Here is a 19,757-nt window from a genome sequence, read left to right on the forward strand (position 1 = left end):
TTAACAAATATGTTAATCCTCAAACTGTTATTGGGCAGCTGAGCATACAGCAATAAAAATAACATAATTTTTATGTGTACCATATTTATGGAATACATTACTGGAACCAATAAATAATTTAATAACATGGTAAAGAACAGAAATTGTATACACTATAGAGCATAGTAATGGAATAATGAGTGATTAAAGTTATTAATATTAGGTAGAAAATGAAGGGTATCTTTGAGAGCAGAACTCAAGGAAGCAAGCAATTCGTCTTATGAGGAAAGAGTTACCTGTGGATAAAGGAGAAACTGAAAAATTTACAAGTCAAGATTTTTTGAGCAAAAACAAAAATATGACTATTAGTCACCAATCCAGTACAGTGAAAAAAAAGTTGAAGAGATATCTTGGAAGTAAACCATGTTGTGGAAGAGCATGTAGGGTTTTGATAATCATGGGATTATTCTGAATTAATTTTAAATGCGATAGGAATATATGAGATAATTTCACCAGAGAATAACATGATTGTGTTTGCATTTCAAAGGGGTGTATCTGGTGCACTCTGTAGAATAAATAGGTTATGTGAGCAAATAAATTGGGAGGCTATTGTAATCCAGAGAAAAAAGGTAGTGACTTAGGTGAAAATGTTGTGAGTATGAGTGGTATTAGTGGTGAGAAGTCGTTAGGCCGTGGATGTATTTCGTAGGACTGGCCAAGAGAACTGCAGCTAAATTGGAGGGTAGGGAGTGAAATGGAGAACTCAAAGATGACTCTCAGCACTGGAAGGTGACAGCTGTCACTGAAGCATGCTGATGCCTCTTATTAAGAGAGTTACTTGGGAATGGCAAGATCAAAACTTCTCACTTTCAAATTTATGAAAAATATTGTTTTCAGAACGAATGACTTTGGGATCAGAAAGCCATCGTTCTAATTGATGGTTCCACGACTACACAGGCTCACACTCCCAAGAGCAAAAGTAAATCATCACAAATGTGTTTCCTGATAATTCTAGAGAATGGAGAATTACTGTAACATCTTTCTGATTTTAGGAGAGGTAGCACTTCCCTTTTTAGCCTAAATGCTATTTTTTTTAAAAGGTCAGCCAGGAGACTCCATTGTAATTTTCAAATGTGTGTAACATAAATTCTCATATGAAATACCACTATGCTTAAATTAGTCAAAACATTTTCCCCATCTACATCTCTATTTTTTCTTTGCAATCATTTTCACAAAAGTGACTGCATAGACCCTAAAAGGGGAAAATCTAGGGTAGGTTATCTTAGCTAGTTAGTTTTGAAGACAGGATCTAGAGATTATTTAATATGAATTAGGTCACCCAAAATGAAGTGTTTACTGAAAACAGCTTGGATCAGCCCAGTTTTCTACCACTGAACCATGCATTTGTTTTCAAAAACACAACAACTCTGGGGAATATTGGCTGCTTCCAACTGTGTTGAAGATGTTAAAGAAAAGAGCATAAAATTAAAAATGATCATCTGAGGCCTTTATAGTCTCTGCTCAAGAGACTAGAGTCTTCCATTCTTAACGAAACAGCCAAATATCTTAATAACTGGGCAAAATCTAAATGTCAGAGAGATAATTTTATCTTGAAGATTGTTAAATTATAAAGGTGATTCACTACCTTGCCACGTCTCTGCATCAAAAATTAGATCTTTGTTTAGGAATCAATGGTACTCTGCAACTTGGAAATAGGAAGATTTTAGAAGACTCAAACATTGACTATCTTGTGTGCAAAAAAAAAAGATGTATTGAGATAAGACAAGTCTTTCCTTGCAAGGATACCTCTAATGCTCATACACCACCTCCCCTAACGTTAATATAGCTTCCAGATCACTAACCAGTGTCAGAGAGCAGCCTATGCAACTATGAATTCAAAAGATGTCGAACACAGGGTCAAGCCTAGAATAAGAAGTCTTAGCGAATTAAGTATGCTTTTTCCCCCAAATTCATATTAACAAAAACTTGGATATCTCAGAGAATGCATTCTAAGTTCACTCAACCTAGGAGGGAGAAACATAATTTTAAATTAAGAGCTGAAGCAGTCTTGTACTAACAAAAAGCAAGGAAAATGAAATATCACACCACAGGAGGGATTTCACAAATTAGTGTCAACATCAAAACCTTAAAATAGGCAAGGAAAATGCAGATTCACAATTAACTCTTCTACTTCTTTTGTTCAGAGAAGAGATGGTTCTGAGAGAATGACAGTGAATTGACCCCAGCTGGTTTAGTTGGTGCTTTCAATTGCTGCTTCTGATAAACTCCTTTAGCTAGAATAAATTGATGAGGATTTTGGCATGTGGTATTAGAGATGGTTATTAATTTTTTCCTCTTATTTGCATTGTTTAATGTAGTAAATACTAGCTGTACATGGCTACTTAAATTCAAATTAATTACAATGAAATATACTTAAATATTGAATTTTTTAGTCACTGTTGGTTCATTATTGAATATCTTCAGTTAAGATTTCCCATCTGAAGACACTAAGAGGTGGCTTAGTTAACTGGTCATCCACAAATATTGAAGCTGTTGTTAACTCCTGATACATTCTCTGCAAATAGAATATTCATGAGCCTCCTCCTGAAACCAGCAGCCTAGGGATAATTTTATAAATTGGATACAAGTTGGAAATCTATACTCTTTAAGTTTTTGAAATATTAGCTTCCCAGGGAAGAAAATCAAATTCATAAGATATGTTAGGACAATTTAACTCAAGATGTTCAAAACTGAAATGACATATTCTACAGTATGTGATAAAACCACCACCTGACAACTTAAAGCAAAACAGGGATTGATCTTAAAGACCTGCCTTTTCGTCATCCCCCAGCCAATCAGTTTTCAAATCTTGCATTTTATTTTGAAAGGTCCTTATCCCCCTAGTCTCTTGTTTCTAGACTTGGCACATATTTAAGTTTGTTACCTCTATCTACTGACTTTCCTCTCTTCAAACAGTATCTATGCCTGCCAAATGTGAACATACAAAAAACAAATCAGAACGCACCATTCTGATTTAAACTGCTTATTAGTTAATACCCTCCAGATAACATCTGGGTTCTTAGCTGCACTGAGTCAAGCCTACTTACATCTTTTTTTTGTCTTTGGCTGCACTTTTCCTATCACATCACACTACAGCAATGCCAAGCTGTGCGGGCCTTCTACCCCATTTCCACTATTTTGCCCCCGCTGCCGCGGCTTTTTGCTTCCGCCGCCGCGGCTTTTTGCCCGCGACTCCGCGGCTTTTTGCCGCCGCCTCCGCGGCTTTTCCCCCGCGACTCCGCGGCTTTTTGCCGCCGCCTCCGCGGCTTTTTCCCCCCTCTGCCGCGGCTTTTTGTGGTTTTTTGCCCCTGCTCCCGCTGATTTTTCCCCCGCTGCCGGGGCTTTTTGCATCTTTTTGCCCCCCGCTGCTGTGGCTTTTTGCCACCGTGGCTTTTTGCCGCCGCGGCTTTTTGCCCCAGCCTTTGCTGCTTTTTGATATCGCGGCTTTTTGTCCCCTAAGCCACGGCTTTTTGCTCTCGCTGCCGCGGCTTTTTGAGGCTTTTTGCCCCCGCCGCCACAGTTTTTGCATCTTTTTTCCCCCGCCGCCGCGGCTTTTTGCCCCCGCCGCCACGGATTTTGCCGCCGCGGCTTTTTGCCACCGTTGCTTTTTGCCCCCGCCGCCGCGGCTTCTTCCCCGCCGCCGCGGCTTTTTGCGGCTTTTTCCCCCGCTGGCCCGGCTTTTTGCGTCTTTTTGCCCCCGCTGCCGCTGCTTTTTGCGGCTTTTTGCCCTCGCCGCTACGGCTTTTTGCCATCGCGGCTTTTTGCCCTCGCTGCTGCAGCTTTTTGCGGCTCTTTGCCCCCGCCGCCGCGGCTTTTTGCATCTTTTTTCCCACGCCTTGGCGGCTTTTTGCCCCCGCCGGCCGGCTTTTTGCCCCCGCCGATGCGGCTTTTTGCCCCCGCCGGCTGGCTTTTTGCCTCCGCCGGCCCGGCTTTTTGCCCCCACCGCCACTGCTTTTTGTGCCCACTGACGGGGCTTTATTCCACCGCGGCTTTTTGCCCCAGCCGCCGCGGCTCTGAGGGCGGGAAGGGCAGACTCGGCTGCCAGCTCTACTGGCGTCCTGGCAATGGTAGAGCTGAGGGGCACTCCTGGTCCAGCTCTCCCGGCTCGGGGCTTCCTTGCCTAGGCGCCCGAGCCCCGGGCTCCCTACCTTGGCCGCTGAGGCCTGCATAGAGCGGCGCTGTGCGCGGAGCGATGGGAGAGAAGAAGTAGGGCAGTGGCGGGGGTGATACGAAGGCCTCGGAGGGTGGCGCAGGGGCCGCGGCCAGCTGGGCGCTGCAGCAGTGGGGGCAGCTCCAAAAGCTCATCGGCATCTCCATTGGCAGCCTGCACAGGCTGTGCACCAAGTGCACTGTGTCCAACGACCTCACCCAGCAGGAGATACAGACCCTGGAGATAAGGGGTTTGGGGACCTGGGCTGGGCTCTAGGAGCGGCCCAGACACCACCCTCAGGGCCCCAGTTCACTCCTGGCCGAGTTGCATCCTTGAGCCCGCGTCACACCCTTGGAGACTTTCCCTCCCTCCTGCACTCGCTGATGCGGCAGCTGGAGGACCCGGGACCAGCCCTCACCTTGGGCAGGATTTGTGGGGCGGGTGCATGGTGGGAACTGGGATGGAGGCTCCAGGGTCCTGTGGAGGGGTTTGGCTGCGCGTGGACATCCCCTTACCCCCAGAATTTCCATCTGGTCCAGCCCTCTCATCTTGTAGGTGAGGAAACTGAAGGCCTGAGTGAGAACTGACTTGCCAGGAACCGCTGTTAAGGAGAATTAACAAAGTGTGGTTATTAAAGGAGAACTGAGTTGGGAGTCAGACCTGGAGGCCCGCACCCTTGGTTAAGACATTATACGACTTTGAGTCTGGCCTGTTGACTGAGGCTGAGCCACTCCATCCTCGTCTGATTGTGGGGGTCTTAACCTCAAGGGGTTTCCTGCAGGAAGAAGCAGATGGGTTTGCTTTCCTAGCTCTGTCCAGTACCTTAGGGACCCTGAGGACTGAAGAGATTCTTGGAGAGCCATCTGGTGTATGTCATGGGTGGGCCTTTTTTGAAGGTCAGTCTGCCCAGTGGGCTGGCTCAGCCTGAATGAACTCTCTTGAATCTTTGGAGTTGTCTGTGTACTTTTAAGGGCTTCTCATCCTTGCACCAAAAGATCCCCTGGAAATTAGTTGAGAAAACCTTAACTTTCATGGGGCCTTGTGTTTGTCTTAAAAGTTCATGCACATGGCCAGGTGTGGTGGCTCACACCTGTTACCCTGTCCTGGATCCCTTGAGTCAAGGAGTTTGAGACCAACCTGGACAACATAATGAGACCACGTCTCTATGAAAAATAAAATATTATCCAGAGGTGGTTGTGCGCATCTGTAGTCCCAGCTACGACTGTGGCTGAGGTGGGCGGAGCACTTGAGCCTGCACTGAGCTGTGATCTCACCAGTGTACTCCAGCCTGGGCCACTGAGCAAGAACTTGACTCAAAAAAAAAACAAAAAAAACAAAAAAAACAAAAATATTCTTGAAGATTTTGCATTCTGTCCCACTATCCATTGGTTTTCATGTCAAGATAATGTCAGAAATTCTTTACAATTGCTTCCAGAAGGAGTAGCCTTTTGATCTAGTGCACAGGTGTCCAGTCTTTTGGCTTCTCAGGGCCACATTGGAAGAAGAATGCTCCTGGGCCACACAAAAAGTTCCCTAATGCTAACAACAGCTGATGAGCTTAAAAAAAAGGTTTATGCATAATTTTCATGATACCCACCACCACAGATAGGCGGAAAAGTCCTTTTAGTCAAAGGGTTGGACACGGCTGATCTAGTGTCTTGTCATCCGTTTTGGCTTTCTCCCTGATTCCAGAATGCAGGTAGAGATGTAGAGACATGCTCTCAGGACAGCTATTGAGATAAAAAAATTCGTTGTCATTTATTCCCAAGCACAGCTGTTTGTCATCTGCATTGAAAAACTCTCCATTCAAACTGCTGTCACATATAAAACCTATTTATGTAAGTCTGTATTTTTCTGTTTTCTTGGCCTTTGTGGGCAGTAGTGTGTTTTAACCGAGCAAACTGTCCTTCAAATAATGAAGCCGAAGTCAGCCTACCTGCTTGCCATGTTTCTTCCCCTTTCATTTTTCTAACCTCAGGATAATTGTAAGAATGAATTAAGATTTGTGTTTAAGGCCGGGCACAGTGTCTCAGGCCTGTAATCTCAGCACTCTGGGAGGCAGAGACGGATGTATCGCTTGAGCTCAGGAGTTCAAGACCAGCCTGGGCAACATATTGAGACTCTGTCTTGTATAATTAAATTAAAATTTAAAAAAAAAAAGAGGAAAAGACCTGTGTTTCAAATTTAAGAAAAGGGGGGAAGCGTAATGCAAAATGCGGACTATGCCAGCTATGATTGGGAAAAATAATTTTTCCTACAGCATTATCTGTAGACTTGTATTAGCAGCATACTGGTCATAAGCGTTTTGCTTTCCTCAAATATGATGAGGTAAGCTACTTTAATGTGTGGTGGGGCTTTCTTCCACGTGGCTCCTGGAGGTGTTCAGTCCCAATTTAGCCAAATAATTAGGGTTTAGTTTTGATATGTATAAGGGAGACGAGCTTCATTCATGGTGCACACACAGTTTTGCCAGTAAGGATAAAAAAAAGCAACCTGAATGTTTCCACTCATTAGATGCTATCTGGAGAGCTCCTACCCCACCCCCACCAAGGCCTGGGCCCTTAAAAAGGCTCAGTGCAGCCTTTCTGTATCTCATACTGTATTCTGCAAGATGCTCCTGTGAAAGAAAGTTGTGCTGCATCAGCCATCTCCCTCCTGAAGATCCCTGCGGATGAGGATTGGTGTTTTGAAGGTTCTGAGAAGACTGCAACAACAGTTCTCAAATTTATTTGTTCAGGGGATCTTTTCTTCCACTGAAAGTATTTGGGGAGACATGGCCTTAAGCCTTGAGCAGAGAAAGAGACAAGAAACTGTTGCCTCACTTACAACCAAGTGTTGTGTTTATGTTTTAGGTTTTTATGAAACTGAGGTGCTGTTTGAGGTTCTAAATGAAATTGGGTGGTTGAAGAGAGGCTGGTATCCCTGTAGACTTAGCCAGCCATGAGAGGTTGCTTTTTGTTGAAGGAGGTGTTTTACAAAGGGAAATAGGGTGTCTCCTGGGCATCGCATTAGCACTTAAATACATGTATCACTGAAATGTAATGAAATTATGAAAAGACGAAATGAAATGAAATGATGAAATGAAATGATGAAATGATGAAACGACTGATGAAATGAAGAAATGAAATGATGAAATGGTGAAATGAAATGAAATGATGAAATGAAGTGAAATGATGAAATGAAATGGTAAAATGAAGAAATGATGTGAAATGATGAAGTGAAATAATGAAATGATGAAATGATGAAATGAGGAAATGAAATGATGAATTGATGAAATGAAATGAATGACGAGATGAAAAGATGAAATGAAATGAAATAATGAAATGAGGAGATGAAAAGTTGAATTGATGAGATGAAATGAAGTCATGAGGTGAAATGATGAGATGAAATGAAATCATGAGATGAAATGATGAAATGATGAGATGAAGTGAAATGATGAAATGAAATGATGAGATGAAGTGAAATGAAATAAGGAAATGAAAGGATGAAATGATGAGATGAAATGAAATGATGAAATGGAATGATGAAATGAAATGATGAAATGATGAAATGGTGAAATGAAATGAGGAAATGAAATGAAATGATGAAATGAAATGATGAAGTAAAATGATGAAATGAAATGATGAAATGATAAAATGAAATGAAAAGTTCAAATGATAAAATGAAAAAATGATATGAAATGATGAAATGAAATCAAATGATGAAATGAAGTGAAATGATTAAATGATGAAATAATGAAATGAAATGAAATGATGAAATGATGGAGATGAAATGAAATGATCAAATGAAATGACGAGATAAAAGATGAAATGAAATGAAATGATGAAATGAATGATGAGATTAAAAGATGAAATGAAATGAGATGAAATGAAATCATGAGATGAAATGAAATCATGAGATGAAATAATGAAAAGATGAGATGAAGTGAAATGATGAAATGAAATGATGAAATGATGAAATGCAAACGATGAGATGAAATGATGAGGTGAAATGATGAAATGATTAAATGAAAAGATGAAATGATGAAATGATATAAAATGATGAAATGAAGTCAAATGAAATGATGAAACGAGATGATGAAATGATGAAATAAATGAAATGAAATGATGAATTGATGAAAGGAAATGACGAGATGAAAAGATGAAATGAAATGATGAGAGGAAGTGAAATGATGAGATGAAGTGAAATGATGAAATGAAATGTTGAGATGAAATGATGTAACGGAATGATGAAATGAAGTGATGAGATGAAATGATGAGATGAAATGAAATGATGAAATGAAAAGATGAAATGAAATGAAATGATGAAATGAGGAAATGAAATGAAATGATGAAATAGATGAACCAAAAATACTTATTCATTTTTTTCTTGGCATCCTTCTAAGAGTATTTTAGTGAGGTTAATTTCTAAAAACAAATTGCTATTCAATGGCTATACAAATGGCCTTTGCACCACAGGGGTTTGAACTGTGCAGGTCCACTTAGCAAAACCAACAATTCTACATCCTTCTCCACACCCTGCCCATGAAAAGGATGAGGATGAAGACCTGTTTTATCATCTACTTCCATTTAATAACTAGTAAATATATTTTCCTTCTGATTTTCTTTTTCTTTTCTCTGGCATGTTTGTTAAGAATACAGTATATAAGACATATAACATATTAAATATGGGTTAATTGAGTGTTTGTGTTATTTGTAAGGCTTACAGTAGGCTATTAGTAGTTAAGTTTTGGGGGTGTCAAAGTTATAGTGAATTTTCTACTGTGCAGTGGGGCCAGCACCCCAACCTCCATGTTGCTTAAGGGTCAACTGTACATGTTATTTCCTTTCCTGTAAGAGAAAAATGAGGAGAAGTTCTTTTCTCCAATAAGTGTATTCAAAATGTAGCAGACCTGAAATGTGTTGGCGCCACCATTTTGCGTCTCACTTTGAAAACTCATTATTAAAAATCGTACTAAAGCCTACCTTACTTTTCCAACCTTAGAAAAAATGTTACAAAGAAAAGGGGTGAAACCATGCTAGTTTGCACTGAAATTTGAAATTATCTTTTAAAAATATATTTTTACTTTAATTACTTCCAAAATAGAGATCAGTTGCAAACAAATGGCAGGTCACTCTAATCCACCCTATGACTGCACCTAGATTCATGAGGAATTGTGCCATCTAGAAAGGGCAGAGAAGAGGAATGGAGTGCTCTGCATCTTGAAATATAAACATGCACATAGCCAAGTGCTTTGATTCTCTTATCACTGTGTACTTAATGCTAGGAAGAGGGCATGTTTGTGTATTTTTATGCTAATTATTATCCAAGTTGTTAATGATTTAGGCTTTCAGAACCATATAAAGATTTTTTTCTTTCAGATATAAACTATCTTGCATTGTTCTTCTGATCATATGAGGGATAAATTTGCCTAAATATTCTTCAGACCATAATATGATGTCCATATAAATGCCAGTAGCAAGAGTAGAATCAACCACAACTGCCTTTGTAATTATGTAAGGCATGTGTGCCTATAAGTAATTGGCATTTTATATAATCAAGAATCTTTGATATACTAATCTCTCAACTATTTGAAACATGGCTCACATATATTAATTTTATATGCAAATATGTATATAACATCACTGTATATGAAACTAAATTTTGGACTTTAGAACAGCTTCTTAGAATCTTGACTTAAATGTCCACAGTAATATTTGACTTAAAAAAATTTAGCACACTGTCACTATGATGAAAAAAATACTATAAAATTATTTAAAAAATTTTTCCACCCTAACATTTAGAACATTCTCACATTTGTGGTTAAAACCTATTGTGATTGTTCTTAGAATTTAGATAAAAAATGTTCCAGAAAGTTTGAAGAGAAGCACTTTAGTCAATTTTTATTTGTTCAAGCATGAAGAAATGGAATTTCATTGACATTTTAAAAACTATTCAGATTCCCTCTTTGAATTGAAGTGTTTCAAAGATATCTTATTTTAAAATACCACAATAGGAATAGAATATGAAGGGCTGGTTATGAGTAATATGATACACTTTTATGAGAGGATGAGATTACAATAACAATACCTCCTCTCATAGAATAGCCAGCAAGTCTCCACTAAATAAGAGTGCCTTGATTTTATAGATGTTTAATCATGGATACTGAGCAAATGTGAACCATTGATAGACACAGGAGTTTATTAAGGAATTATGTAATATCTTTCAAGTATTTAGAATAGTGTTCAAATTAAGCCTGAATCCCCACGATTTTCAGAGTTGATGATGCCTAATAAACTCAACCCCTTGTATGCCAAAATTGGCTTAAGGCCCACCCGTTACCCAAGCTACACTTCAAGTATCAAAGTTCAAAAATGTAATTTTAAATATGCAAGAGTTTGAGGAATTCGCTACTCACACTTTCTTGAACAGTCTATCCAAGTGCATCAAGCAAGATGTGAGTAAAGAAATTTTGACCAAAGGATTGATAGTAATGTTGAATACATTTAATAGTAGATCTAAGATTAAAAGGTGAGAGTGAGGGTGAGAAGAATGTATGAATGCTTTGTGTTCTGACAAAGAGAATGTAGCACCCATGTCCTACCTGCTTGGTTGCATTGCCAGTGCCCACAGTAGGCTATTTTATCCAGGTTTTTAGTTTTTTGTTTTGTTTTGTTTTGTTTTGTTTTCTTTTCAGGAGAGTTAGTCCAAGACCAATAACTCCATAACTGGTAGAATTGGAAGACGTTAATAGTGCTTAACATTTTGTACATAGCTTTATAACAGTTTTCTTTTTCTTTTTTTCTGAGAGATTCTTTTCAATATACCCCATCATGGTTGAACTCAAAGTCATTGCTTATTTAAAATCTACAACTGCTGACGTTTTGTAACCTTCGCATTCCAGGTAATTGGTTTTTTGTGCGTTTTCTGTATTTTTCTTCATCACTCTACCTAGATATTTGTTAGATTTAATATTTTAATATTTTTCTGAAAAAGTGAGCTTTTGCATTTTTAAATATATACTCAGTTGCTTTAATTCTGCTTTTTCATGTACTGCTTCCTCCTTTTTTTTTTTTTTTTTTTTGAGGCGGAGTCTTGCTCTGTCACCCAAGCTAGAGTGCAGTGGCGTGATCTCAACTCACTGCAACCTCCAACCCCCACGTTCAAGCAATTCTCCCACCTCAGCCTCCCGAGTAGCTGGGATTACAGATGCATACCACCATGCCAGGCTAATTTTTGCATATTTAGTAGAGAGTGGGTTTCACCATGTTGGACCAGGCTGTTGTCGAACTCCTGACCTCAGGTGATCCACCTGACTCGGCCTCCCAAAGTGCTGGGATTACAGGTGTGAACCATGGAGCCTGGCTATTTCATTCTTTATGTTTATTTTACTGGTTTTATCTCTCTCTCTCTCTCACTGTTTCTCTCCTTCTCACATTCACTTTGCAGTTGTCAAATAGCCCAGGTGATGTTACAGATTTACTCCTTATAAAAGGAGGCATTACACATTACACATGCATCTTAGTGGCCTTACAAAAGTGTTTGGTTCATTTGTATTGACTTTAAAATATTTCAATATTCATTAAAATAGCTTCGAACCAATATTATTAGACCTACGTTTCTAGCTTTCTTTTTTGTATTGTTATCTACCTTCATTGCTGTTTAAGAAATATATTCTGTGTCACGTTATTTCCGTGAAAATTGTTTGAATTTGTGGTATGGTCTAGAAAATGTTAATTTTTGTAAGTATTCTGTATGAACATGAAAATAACATGAATTATAATATTCATGTTTCTTATATAACATTTGCCCTTTTTAAAATCCACTAGCTTTTTTTAAAACTTACTCTTTTAATTTTTTCTTTTATGTATTACTGAAAGATGTGTTTGAAATGTCTATAATGATTTGAGAGCTTATTCATTTCTACTTACTTTCTGATATTTTTGCTTTATATAATTTGACTCTCTCTCTAAATACGTGTGTGCGTGTGTGTGAGAGAGTGTGTGGTGTGTGTGCATATATGTATATATGTATCAGGCTAATGCACATTTAAGTCATCACATCTTCTTAATAACTTAAAACTTTTGTCACACTGGTTAGACTAACTTATTTTAATAAATGTTTCTAACTTACATTCTATTTTGTCTATATAGCAAGTTTTAAAAAATATTCATGTAGTATGTTTGTATGTATATCATATATACGCAGTATCTGTATTGTTTGAACTTCAAAGTTTCTGTAAATTTATATATTAGTTGCCTCTCTTGTAATTATGATAGAGATTTTTTTTTAATTTTGCCAATCTTTGTATTTTAACAAAAACATTGTCTACTTAGGTTTAAGTTAATCTTTGATCATTTATACTTAATTCGTTTTATTAATTTGTTGCATATATATATATATATATATATAATGTCTCATTTCTCCTATCAGTTTCTGTCTTCTTGTTTTTAAATTATGACTTTTATTTTTATTGTTTTCAAAAATAACAACAGAGAAATGCATAATGTCCAGTGAATTTATTAAAATTCCAAAGTCGGTCGCCCGCATGGCTCATGCCTGTAATCTCAACACTTCGGGAGGCCGAGGCGTGTGGATCACGAGGTCAGGGGTTGGAGACTAGCCTGACCAACATGGTGAAACCCCGTCTCTACTAAAAATACAGAAATTAGCCAGGCATTGTGGCACGTGGCTGTAATCCCCGCTACTCAGGAGGCTGAGGCAGGAGAATTGCTTGAACCTGGAAGGCAGAGGTTGCAGTGAGCCGAGATGGCGCCACTGCACTCCAGCCTGGGCGAAAGAGTGAGTGAGACTCCTTCTTAAAATAAATAAATAAATAAAGAGTTGCAACGTCATACTCACCTTTCTGCTGTTGTCAGACAATTAAGGGGTCTTTGAATACTTCAGCCCTAATAATTTGCTTCCTAACATACATATTGCAGTGCTTATCTAATTTTAAATATCTTTTTGTTTCAACACCTAATTTTTTCTTTAGATCTGTCTGTATGTTTACAATATATTTTGCTCTGTGTTCATACTTTGATTTCAGAACTTTAACTTTTCTGAAGCATGTTTTCAGAGTTTCTTTTTAGTTTCTTTAGTGGAATTCTGCTGGAGGCGTTTTGTTTTTTGTCTCTAAATATGTTATTTAGCCATAGGTTGATGAATATTTTTCTTGGTTTTGAATTTCAGAATGGCATTATTATTCTTAACAAACAAATAATATTGTTTATTTTACCTTTCATTCTTTCAGATTTCAATTTGATTAAAAGTAATTTGATTTTTCTAGTGCTAATTGAGATACTTTTCCCTTCCTGATTGTTTACTATTTCTCTAGGAGATAGGTAGGTGTAGGTTTATCTCCATTGTAGCTTGCTTAGCATGCATGGAATTTTTGAATATGCAGATTAGTGTCTTACAAAAGTCTAGAGAACTTTCAGCCAAAATACCATCACATATTGTCCCTTCCCAGTTCCCTTCTTCTATGAGAACACTCACTAAACACATGCTACACTTTCTCACTGTATGTTCCATGTCTCTTCATGATTCTGTCTACATTGTGCCTTTATTTAAATTTTCTGTAATGCATTCTGAAATATTTATGAACTCTCACCATGGCCATGTCTAATCTGATGAGTTCATTTTTGAGTTTTTAATTTAAAATACTATATTTTTATACAAACTACTTTTCAAATTTGCTACATCAATTTTTTAGTCTCCTAAAATATATTCTCTTTATTTTAAAATTTTTTAAAGCAAATGTGCTTTATAATCTAACAGTGATATTTCTACTAATGAACCTTTGTGGATCTGTTTGTACTCTTTTTCTGCTTTCCTTTCAAATGGTGGAATATCATTTCCTTGCGTACTTAGATGCCTTTGAATGACAAATATTTATTTTTCTCTGAAAATTATTTTTGTGCACTTTTGTGTATTAGTAAGAAGAAAACTTTCCAGAGAGAATTTGAATTTTTTTATGAGTCTACTAAAGGCACCACCATTCTGGGACCTCATTATGTTAATTCTTGGCCTAAAGGTGTTTGGACGTATGTTCGGACTGCATATCTAAACTATTTTTAAATTAATTGCTGTAAATCATTAATGATTGGGTTTCTTCAAATCTGTTCAATCTCAAGACATTTTTATTTGCCATTTCCAGGGAATGTGAAATGGGATTAATTTACCTCTGATTCTTCTTTATACTGAGGATAGAAATTTTGGTCCTAGCTTTAGGGAGGAGCTCCTGTGTGATGCCTTATCTTGGGAAAAACTATGTTTTTCTTTACTGTCCTATGTGATGTATGACAGTAGGAATCTGCACTCATTCATTTTGGTACATGTCCATAGGGCAAAATCAGTTTCGGTGTTTAGGTATATTTTGTCTGCTCGCTGCGTTCCCATGGTTTTGATATTATATTTTACTATTTTTTGTGAACATATCAATGCTTCAATTTTTTTCCAGTAATATAATCAACTATATTATGAGAAAGAAAAATTTTGATAAAACACAAATTTCATGTTTTCCTACTCTAATTGACTTTTACATAAAAATACAGGTAAAGTTTATTTGTGCTTTTTTGATATTTCTGTTTTGCTATTCTCTGTTTGTCTATGTCTTCTCCACATAGACACAATTAGGGAATTTTGTACACTCTTGTGAGAACAGCTTTGATATTAACAAAATGTATTTCTCGAACTCCTAGGTATAAAACTCAAGTATCTACAATTTAAATTCTTTTTCGCTCACTTCTATTATGTTTCCAGTCTCAGTAGAAATCTTTGCCCAACCAGGAATTCAAGCATTATTCTAATACTTCTCACACAACACAGATACAGATTAAATTTTCTAGATCTTCCTAAATACTATCATTTTTCACTACTTGAATCTTAACTGTTAAGTTCAAGGCTGGGTGACAGAGTGAGATATTCTCGAAACAAAAAAAAAATGGAATGGAATGCAGTGGAATGGAATGGAATGGAATGGAGTGGACTCGAGTGAAGGGATTGGAGTGAAGTGGAGTGGAGTGGAATGGAGATGAATGGAATGTGATGGAATGGAATGAAGTGGAGTGGAGTGGGGTGGACTGGAGTGTAGTGGAAAGGAGCGGAAAGGAATGGGACGGAGTGGAATGGAGTGGAATGGAGGTCAGTGGAGTGCAGAGGAGGGGAATGGAGTGGAATGGAATTGGATGTAATGGAATGTAGTGGAGTGCAGTGGAGTGGAACAGAGTGGAATGGAATGGAATTGCATGGAACGGAATGGAATGGAATGCAATGGAATGCAATGGAATGCAATGGAATAGAATGCAATGCAAAGGAAATTTGACATGTAATGTGAGCTGAGATTGGGCCACTGCACTCCAGCCTGGGTGACACAGTGATATCCTGTTGAAAGAAAGGAAAGAAATGCAATGGAGTGAAATGGAATGGAATGGAATGGAATGGGATATAGTGGAATGGAGAGGAATAGGGTGGAGTGGAGTGGAGTGGAGTGGAATGGAGTTTAGTGGAGTGGAGTGGAATGGAATGGGGTGGAGTGGAGTGGAGTGGAATGGAGTAGAGTGGACTGTAGTGGAGTGGAGTGGAAAGGAATGGAATGGAATGGAATTAAATGGAGAAAAGAAATGTGTGCTGAGATTCTGCCACTGCGCTATAGCCTGTGTGACAGAGGGAGATCCTGTCGAAAGAAAGGAGTGGAATGGAAGGGATTGGAATGGAATGGATTGGAGTGGAGTGGAGTGGAATTGAGTGGAGTGGAGTGGAGTGGAATGGAATGGAATGGTGAAATGAAATGTGAGCTGAGATTGTGCCACTGAACACCAGCCTGGGTGACAGAGTGAGTTCCTGTCAAAAGAAAGGAATGGAATGGAATGGAGTGTAATGGAAAGGGATGGAGTGGAGTGGAGCGGAAAGGAGTGGAATGGAATGGGATGGAATGGAAAGGAGTGGAGTAGACTGGAATGGAGTGGAGTGGAGTGGAATGGATTGGAGTGGAGTGGAGTGGATTGGAATGGAATGGAATGGAATGGAATGGAATGGAATGGAATGGTGAAATGAAATGTGAGCTGAGGTTGTGCCACTGTGCTACAAGCTGGGTGACAGAGTGAGATATTCTCGAAAGAAAGAAATGGAATGGAATGCAGTGGAATGGAATGGAATGGACTGGAATGGACTGGAGTGAAGTGGAGTGGGGTGAAGTGGAGTGGAGTGGAATGGAGAGGGATGGAATGGGATGGAATGAAGTGGAGTGGAGTGGGGTGGAGTGGAGTTCAGTGGAGTGGAGAGGAGTGGAATGGAGTGGAATGGAATAGGATGTAATGGAATATACTGGAGTGGAGTGGAGTGGAGTGGAAAGGAGTGGAATTGAATGTAAAGGAATGGAATGGAATGGAATGGAATGCAATGGAACGCAATGGAATAGAATGTAATGCAATGGAAAGTTGACATGTAATGTGAGCTGAGAATGTGCCACTGCACTCCAGCCTCAGTGACACAGTGATATCCTGTTGAAAGAAAGGAATGGAATGCAATGGAGTGAAATGGAATGGAATGGAATGGAGTGGAGTGGAGTGGAGTAGAATGGAGTAGAATGGAATGGGATGGAGTGGAATGGAATGGAGTGGAGTGGAGTGGAGTGAAACAGACTGGAATGGAAGGGGATGGAATGGAATGTAGTGGAATGGTGAAAAGAAATGTGAGCTGAGATTGTGCCACTGCACTCCAGCCTTTGTGACAGAGTGTGATCCTGTGGAAAAAAAGAAATGGAATGGAATGGAGTGGAATGGAATGGAATGGAGTGAAGTGGAGTGGAGTGGACTGGAGTGGAGTGGAGTGGAATGGAGGGGAGTGGAATGGAGTGGAGTGGAATGGAGTGGAATGGAATGCAGTGGAGTGGAGTGGAGTGGAATGGAATGGAGCATAGTGGAATGGAGTGGAATGGAATGCAGTGGAGTGGAGTGGAATGGAATGGAGTGGAATGGAATGGAATGGAGAGGAATGGAGTAGAGTGGAGTGGAATGAAGTGGAGTGGATTGGAGTGGAGTGGAATGGAATGGAGTGGAATGGAGTGGAGTGGAATAGACTGGAGTGGAGCGGAATGGAATGGAATGGAATGGAATGGAATGGAATGGAATGGAATGGAATGGAATGCAATGGAATGGAATGGAATGGAATGGAATGGAATTGAGAAAAGAAATGTGTGCTGAGGTTGTGCCACTGCACTACAACCTGTGTGACAGAGGGAGATCCTGTCAAAGAAAGGAGTGGAATGGAAGGGATTGGAATGAAATGGAATGGAATGGATTGGAGTTGAGTGGAGTGGGATTGAGTGGAGTGGAGTGGAGTGCAGTGGAATGGAATGGAATGGTGAAAGGAAATGTGAGCTGAGATTGTGCCACTGCACACGAGCCTGGATGACAGAGTGAGATCCTGTCCAAAGAAAGGAATGGAATGGAATGGAATGGAGTGGAGTCGAGAGGAATGGAGTGGAATGGAATGGGATGGAATGGAAAGGAGTGGAGTGGAGAGGAATGGAGTGGAGCAGAGTGGAGTGGAATGAAGTGGAATGGAATGGGATGGAATGGAAAGGAGTGGAGTGGACTGGAATGGAGTGGAGTGGAGTGGAATGGAATGGAATGGAATGGTGAAATGAAATGTGAGCTGAGATTGTGCCACTGTGCTCCAGGCTGGGTGACAGAGTGAGATACTCTCGAAAGAAAGGAATGGAATGGAATGCAGTGGAATGGAATGGAATGGAATGGAATGAAATGGAGTGGACTGGAGTGGAGTGGAGTGGAATGGAGAGGAATGGACTGGGATGGAATGGAATGGAATGAAGTGGAGTGGAGTGGGGTGGACTGGAGTGCAGTGGAAAGGAGCGGAAAGGAATGGGACAGAGTGAAATGGAGTGGAGTGGAGGTCAGTGGAGTGCAGAGGAGGGGAATGGTGTGGAATGGAATCGGATGTAATGGAATGTAGTGGAGTGGAGTGGAGCAGAGAGGAATGGAATGGAATTGAATTAAATGGAATGGAACGGAATAGAATGGAATGCAATGGAATGCAATAGAATAGAATGCAATGCAAACGAAAGTTGACATGTAATATGAGATGAGATTGTGCGACTGCACTCCAGCCTGGGAGACATAGTGATATCCTGTCGAAAGAAAGGAATGGAATGCAATGGAGTGAAATGGAATGGAATGGAATGGGACATAGTGGAATAGAGTGGAATGGAATGGAGTGGAGTGGAGTGGAATGGAATGGAATGGAGAAAAGAAATGTGTGCTGAGATTGTGCCACTGTGCTACAACCTGTGTGAAAGAGGGAAATCCTGTCGAAAGAAAGGAGTGGAATTGAAGGGATTCGAATGGAATGAAATGGAATGGATTGGAGTGGAGTGGAGTGGGATTGAGTGGAGTGGAGTGGAGTGCAGTGGAATGGAATGGAATGGTGAAAGGAAATGTGAGCTGAGATTGTGCCACTGCACACCAGCCTGGGAGACAGAGTGAGATCCTGTGAAAAAAAAGGGATGGAATGGAATGAATTTAGAAGGGAATGTAATGGAGTGGAGTGGAATGGAGTGGAGTGGAGTGGAAAGGAGTGGAATGGAGTGGGATGGAATGGAAAAGAGTGGAATGGATTGGAGGGGAGTGGAGTGGAATGAATTGGAGTGGAGTGGAGTGGAGAGGAGTGGAATGAAATGGAATGGAATGGAATGGTGAAATGAAATGTGAGCTGAGATTGTGCCACTGCACTCCAGGCTGGGTGACAGAGTCATATAATCTCGAAAGAAAGGAATGGAATGGAATGCAGTGGAATGGAATGGAATGGAGTGGACTGGAGTGGAGTGAAGTGGGGTGGAGTGGAATGGACAGGAATGGAATGGGAAGGAATGAAGCGGAGTGGCATGGGGTGGAGTGGAGTGCAGTGGAATGGAGCGGAATGCAATGGGATGGAGTGGAACGGAGTGGAGTGGAATGCAGTGGAGTGGAGAGGAGTGGAATGGAGTGGAATGGAATCGGATGTAATGGAATATAGTGGAGTGGAGTTGAGTGGAGTGGAATGGAGTGGAATAGAATGGAATTGAATGGAGTGGAATGGAATGGAATGGAAAGGAATGCAATGGAATGCAATGGAATAGAATGCAATGCAATGGAAAGTTGACATGTAATGTGAGCTGAGATTGTGCCACTGAACTTCAGCGTGGGTGACACAGTGATATCCTGTGGAATGGAACTGGATTAAATGGAATGGAATGGAATGGACTCGAATGGAATGGACTCGAATGGAATGGAAGGGACTTGAATGGAATCATCATCGAACGGACTCGAATAGAATCATCATCGAATGGACTCGAATGGAATCATCATCGAATGGACTCGAATGGAATCATCACCGAATGGACTCAAATGGAATCATCTTCAAATGGAACCGAATGGAATCATCATCAAATGGAATTGAATGGAATCATCAAATGGAGTTGAATGGAATCATCATCGAATGGAATAGAATGGAATCATCATCGAACGGAGTTGAATGGAGTCATCATTGAACGGAATCGAATGGAATCATCATTGAATGGAATCAAAAG

General features: G+C 39.9%; 6 annotated features.

Annotated features, from left to right (window-relative positions):
* Window positions 4,543-4,693: a silencer, noted in NCBI's record as "fragment chr16:33853941-33854091 (GRCh37/hg19 assembly coordinates)". NCBI's record gives its function as "represses an EF-1alpha promoter that drives an FKBP-Casp9 reporter gene in an ReSE screen in phorbol 12-myristate 13-acetate-treated (for megakaryocytic differentiation) K562 erythroleukemia cells {active_cell/tissue: K562(+PMA)}" and the evidence as "EXISTENCE:reporter gene assay evidence [ECO:0000049][PMID:32094911]".
* Window positions 15,530-16,428: an enhancer, noted in NCBI's record as "OCT4-NANOG hESC enhancer chr16:33864928-33865826 (GRCh37/hg19 assembly coordinates)". NCBI's record gives its function as "activates a minimal SCP1, AML or CMV promoter by ChIP-STARR-seq in primed H9 embryonic stem cells {active_cell/tissue: H9 hESC(primed)}" and the evidence as "EXISTENCE:reporter gene assay evidence [ECO:0000049][PMID:30033119]".
* Window positions 16,486-17,244: an enhancer, noted in NCBI's record as "OCT4-NANOG hESC enhancer chr16:33865884-33866642 (GRCh37/hg19 assembly coordinates)". NCBI's record gives its function as "activates a minimal SCP1, AML or CMV promoter by ChIP-STARR-seq in primed H9 embryonic stem cells {active_cell/tissue: H9 hESC(primed)}" and the evidence as "EXISTENCE:reporter gene assay evidence [ECO:0000049][PMID:30033119]".
* Window positions 17,245-18,001: an enhancer, noted in NCBI's record as "OCT4-NANOG-H3K27ac hESC enhancer chr16:33866643-33867399 (GRCh37/hg19 assembly coordinates)". NCBI's record gives its function as "activates a minimal SCP1, AML or CMV promoter by ChIP-STARR-seq in naive and primed H9 embryonic stem cells {active_cell/tissue: H9 hESC(naive and primed)}" and the evidence as "EXISTENCE:reporter gene assay evidence [ECO:0000049][PMID:30033119]".
* Window positions 18,002-18,759: an enhancer, noted in NCBI's record as "OCT4-NANOG-H3K27ac hESC enhancer chr16:33867400-33868157 (GRCh37/hg19 assembly coordinates)". NCBI's record gives its function as "activates a minimal SCP1, AML or CMV promoter by ChIP-STARR-seq in primed H9 embryonic stem cells {active_cell/tissue: H9 hESC(primed)}" and the evidence as "EXISTENCE:reporter gene assay evidence [ECO:0000049][PMID:30033119]".
* Window positions 18,760-19,516: an enhancer, noted in NCBI's record as "OCT4-NANOG hESC enhancer chr16:33868158-33868914 (GRCh37/hg19 assembly coordinates)". NCBI's record gives its function as "activates a minimal SCP1, AML or CMV promoter by ChIP-STARR-seq in naive and primed H9 embryonic stem cells {active_cell/tissue: H9 hESC(naive and primed)}" and the evidence as "EXISTENCE:reporter gene assay evidence [ECO:0000049][PMID:30033119]".

The sequence above is a fragment of the Homo sapiens genome, chromosome 16, assembly GCF_000001405.40.
Source record: "Homo sapiens chromosome 16, GRCh38.p14 Primary Assembly".
NCBI classification, from domain to species: Eukaryota; Metazoa; Chordata; class Mammalia; order Primates; family Hominidae; genus Homo; species Homo sapiens.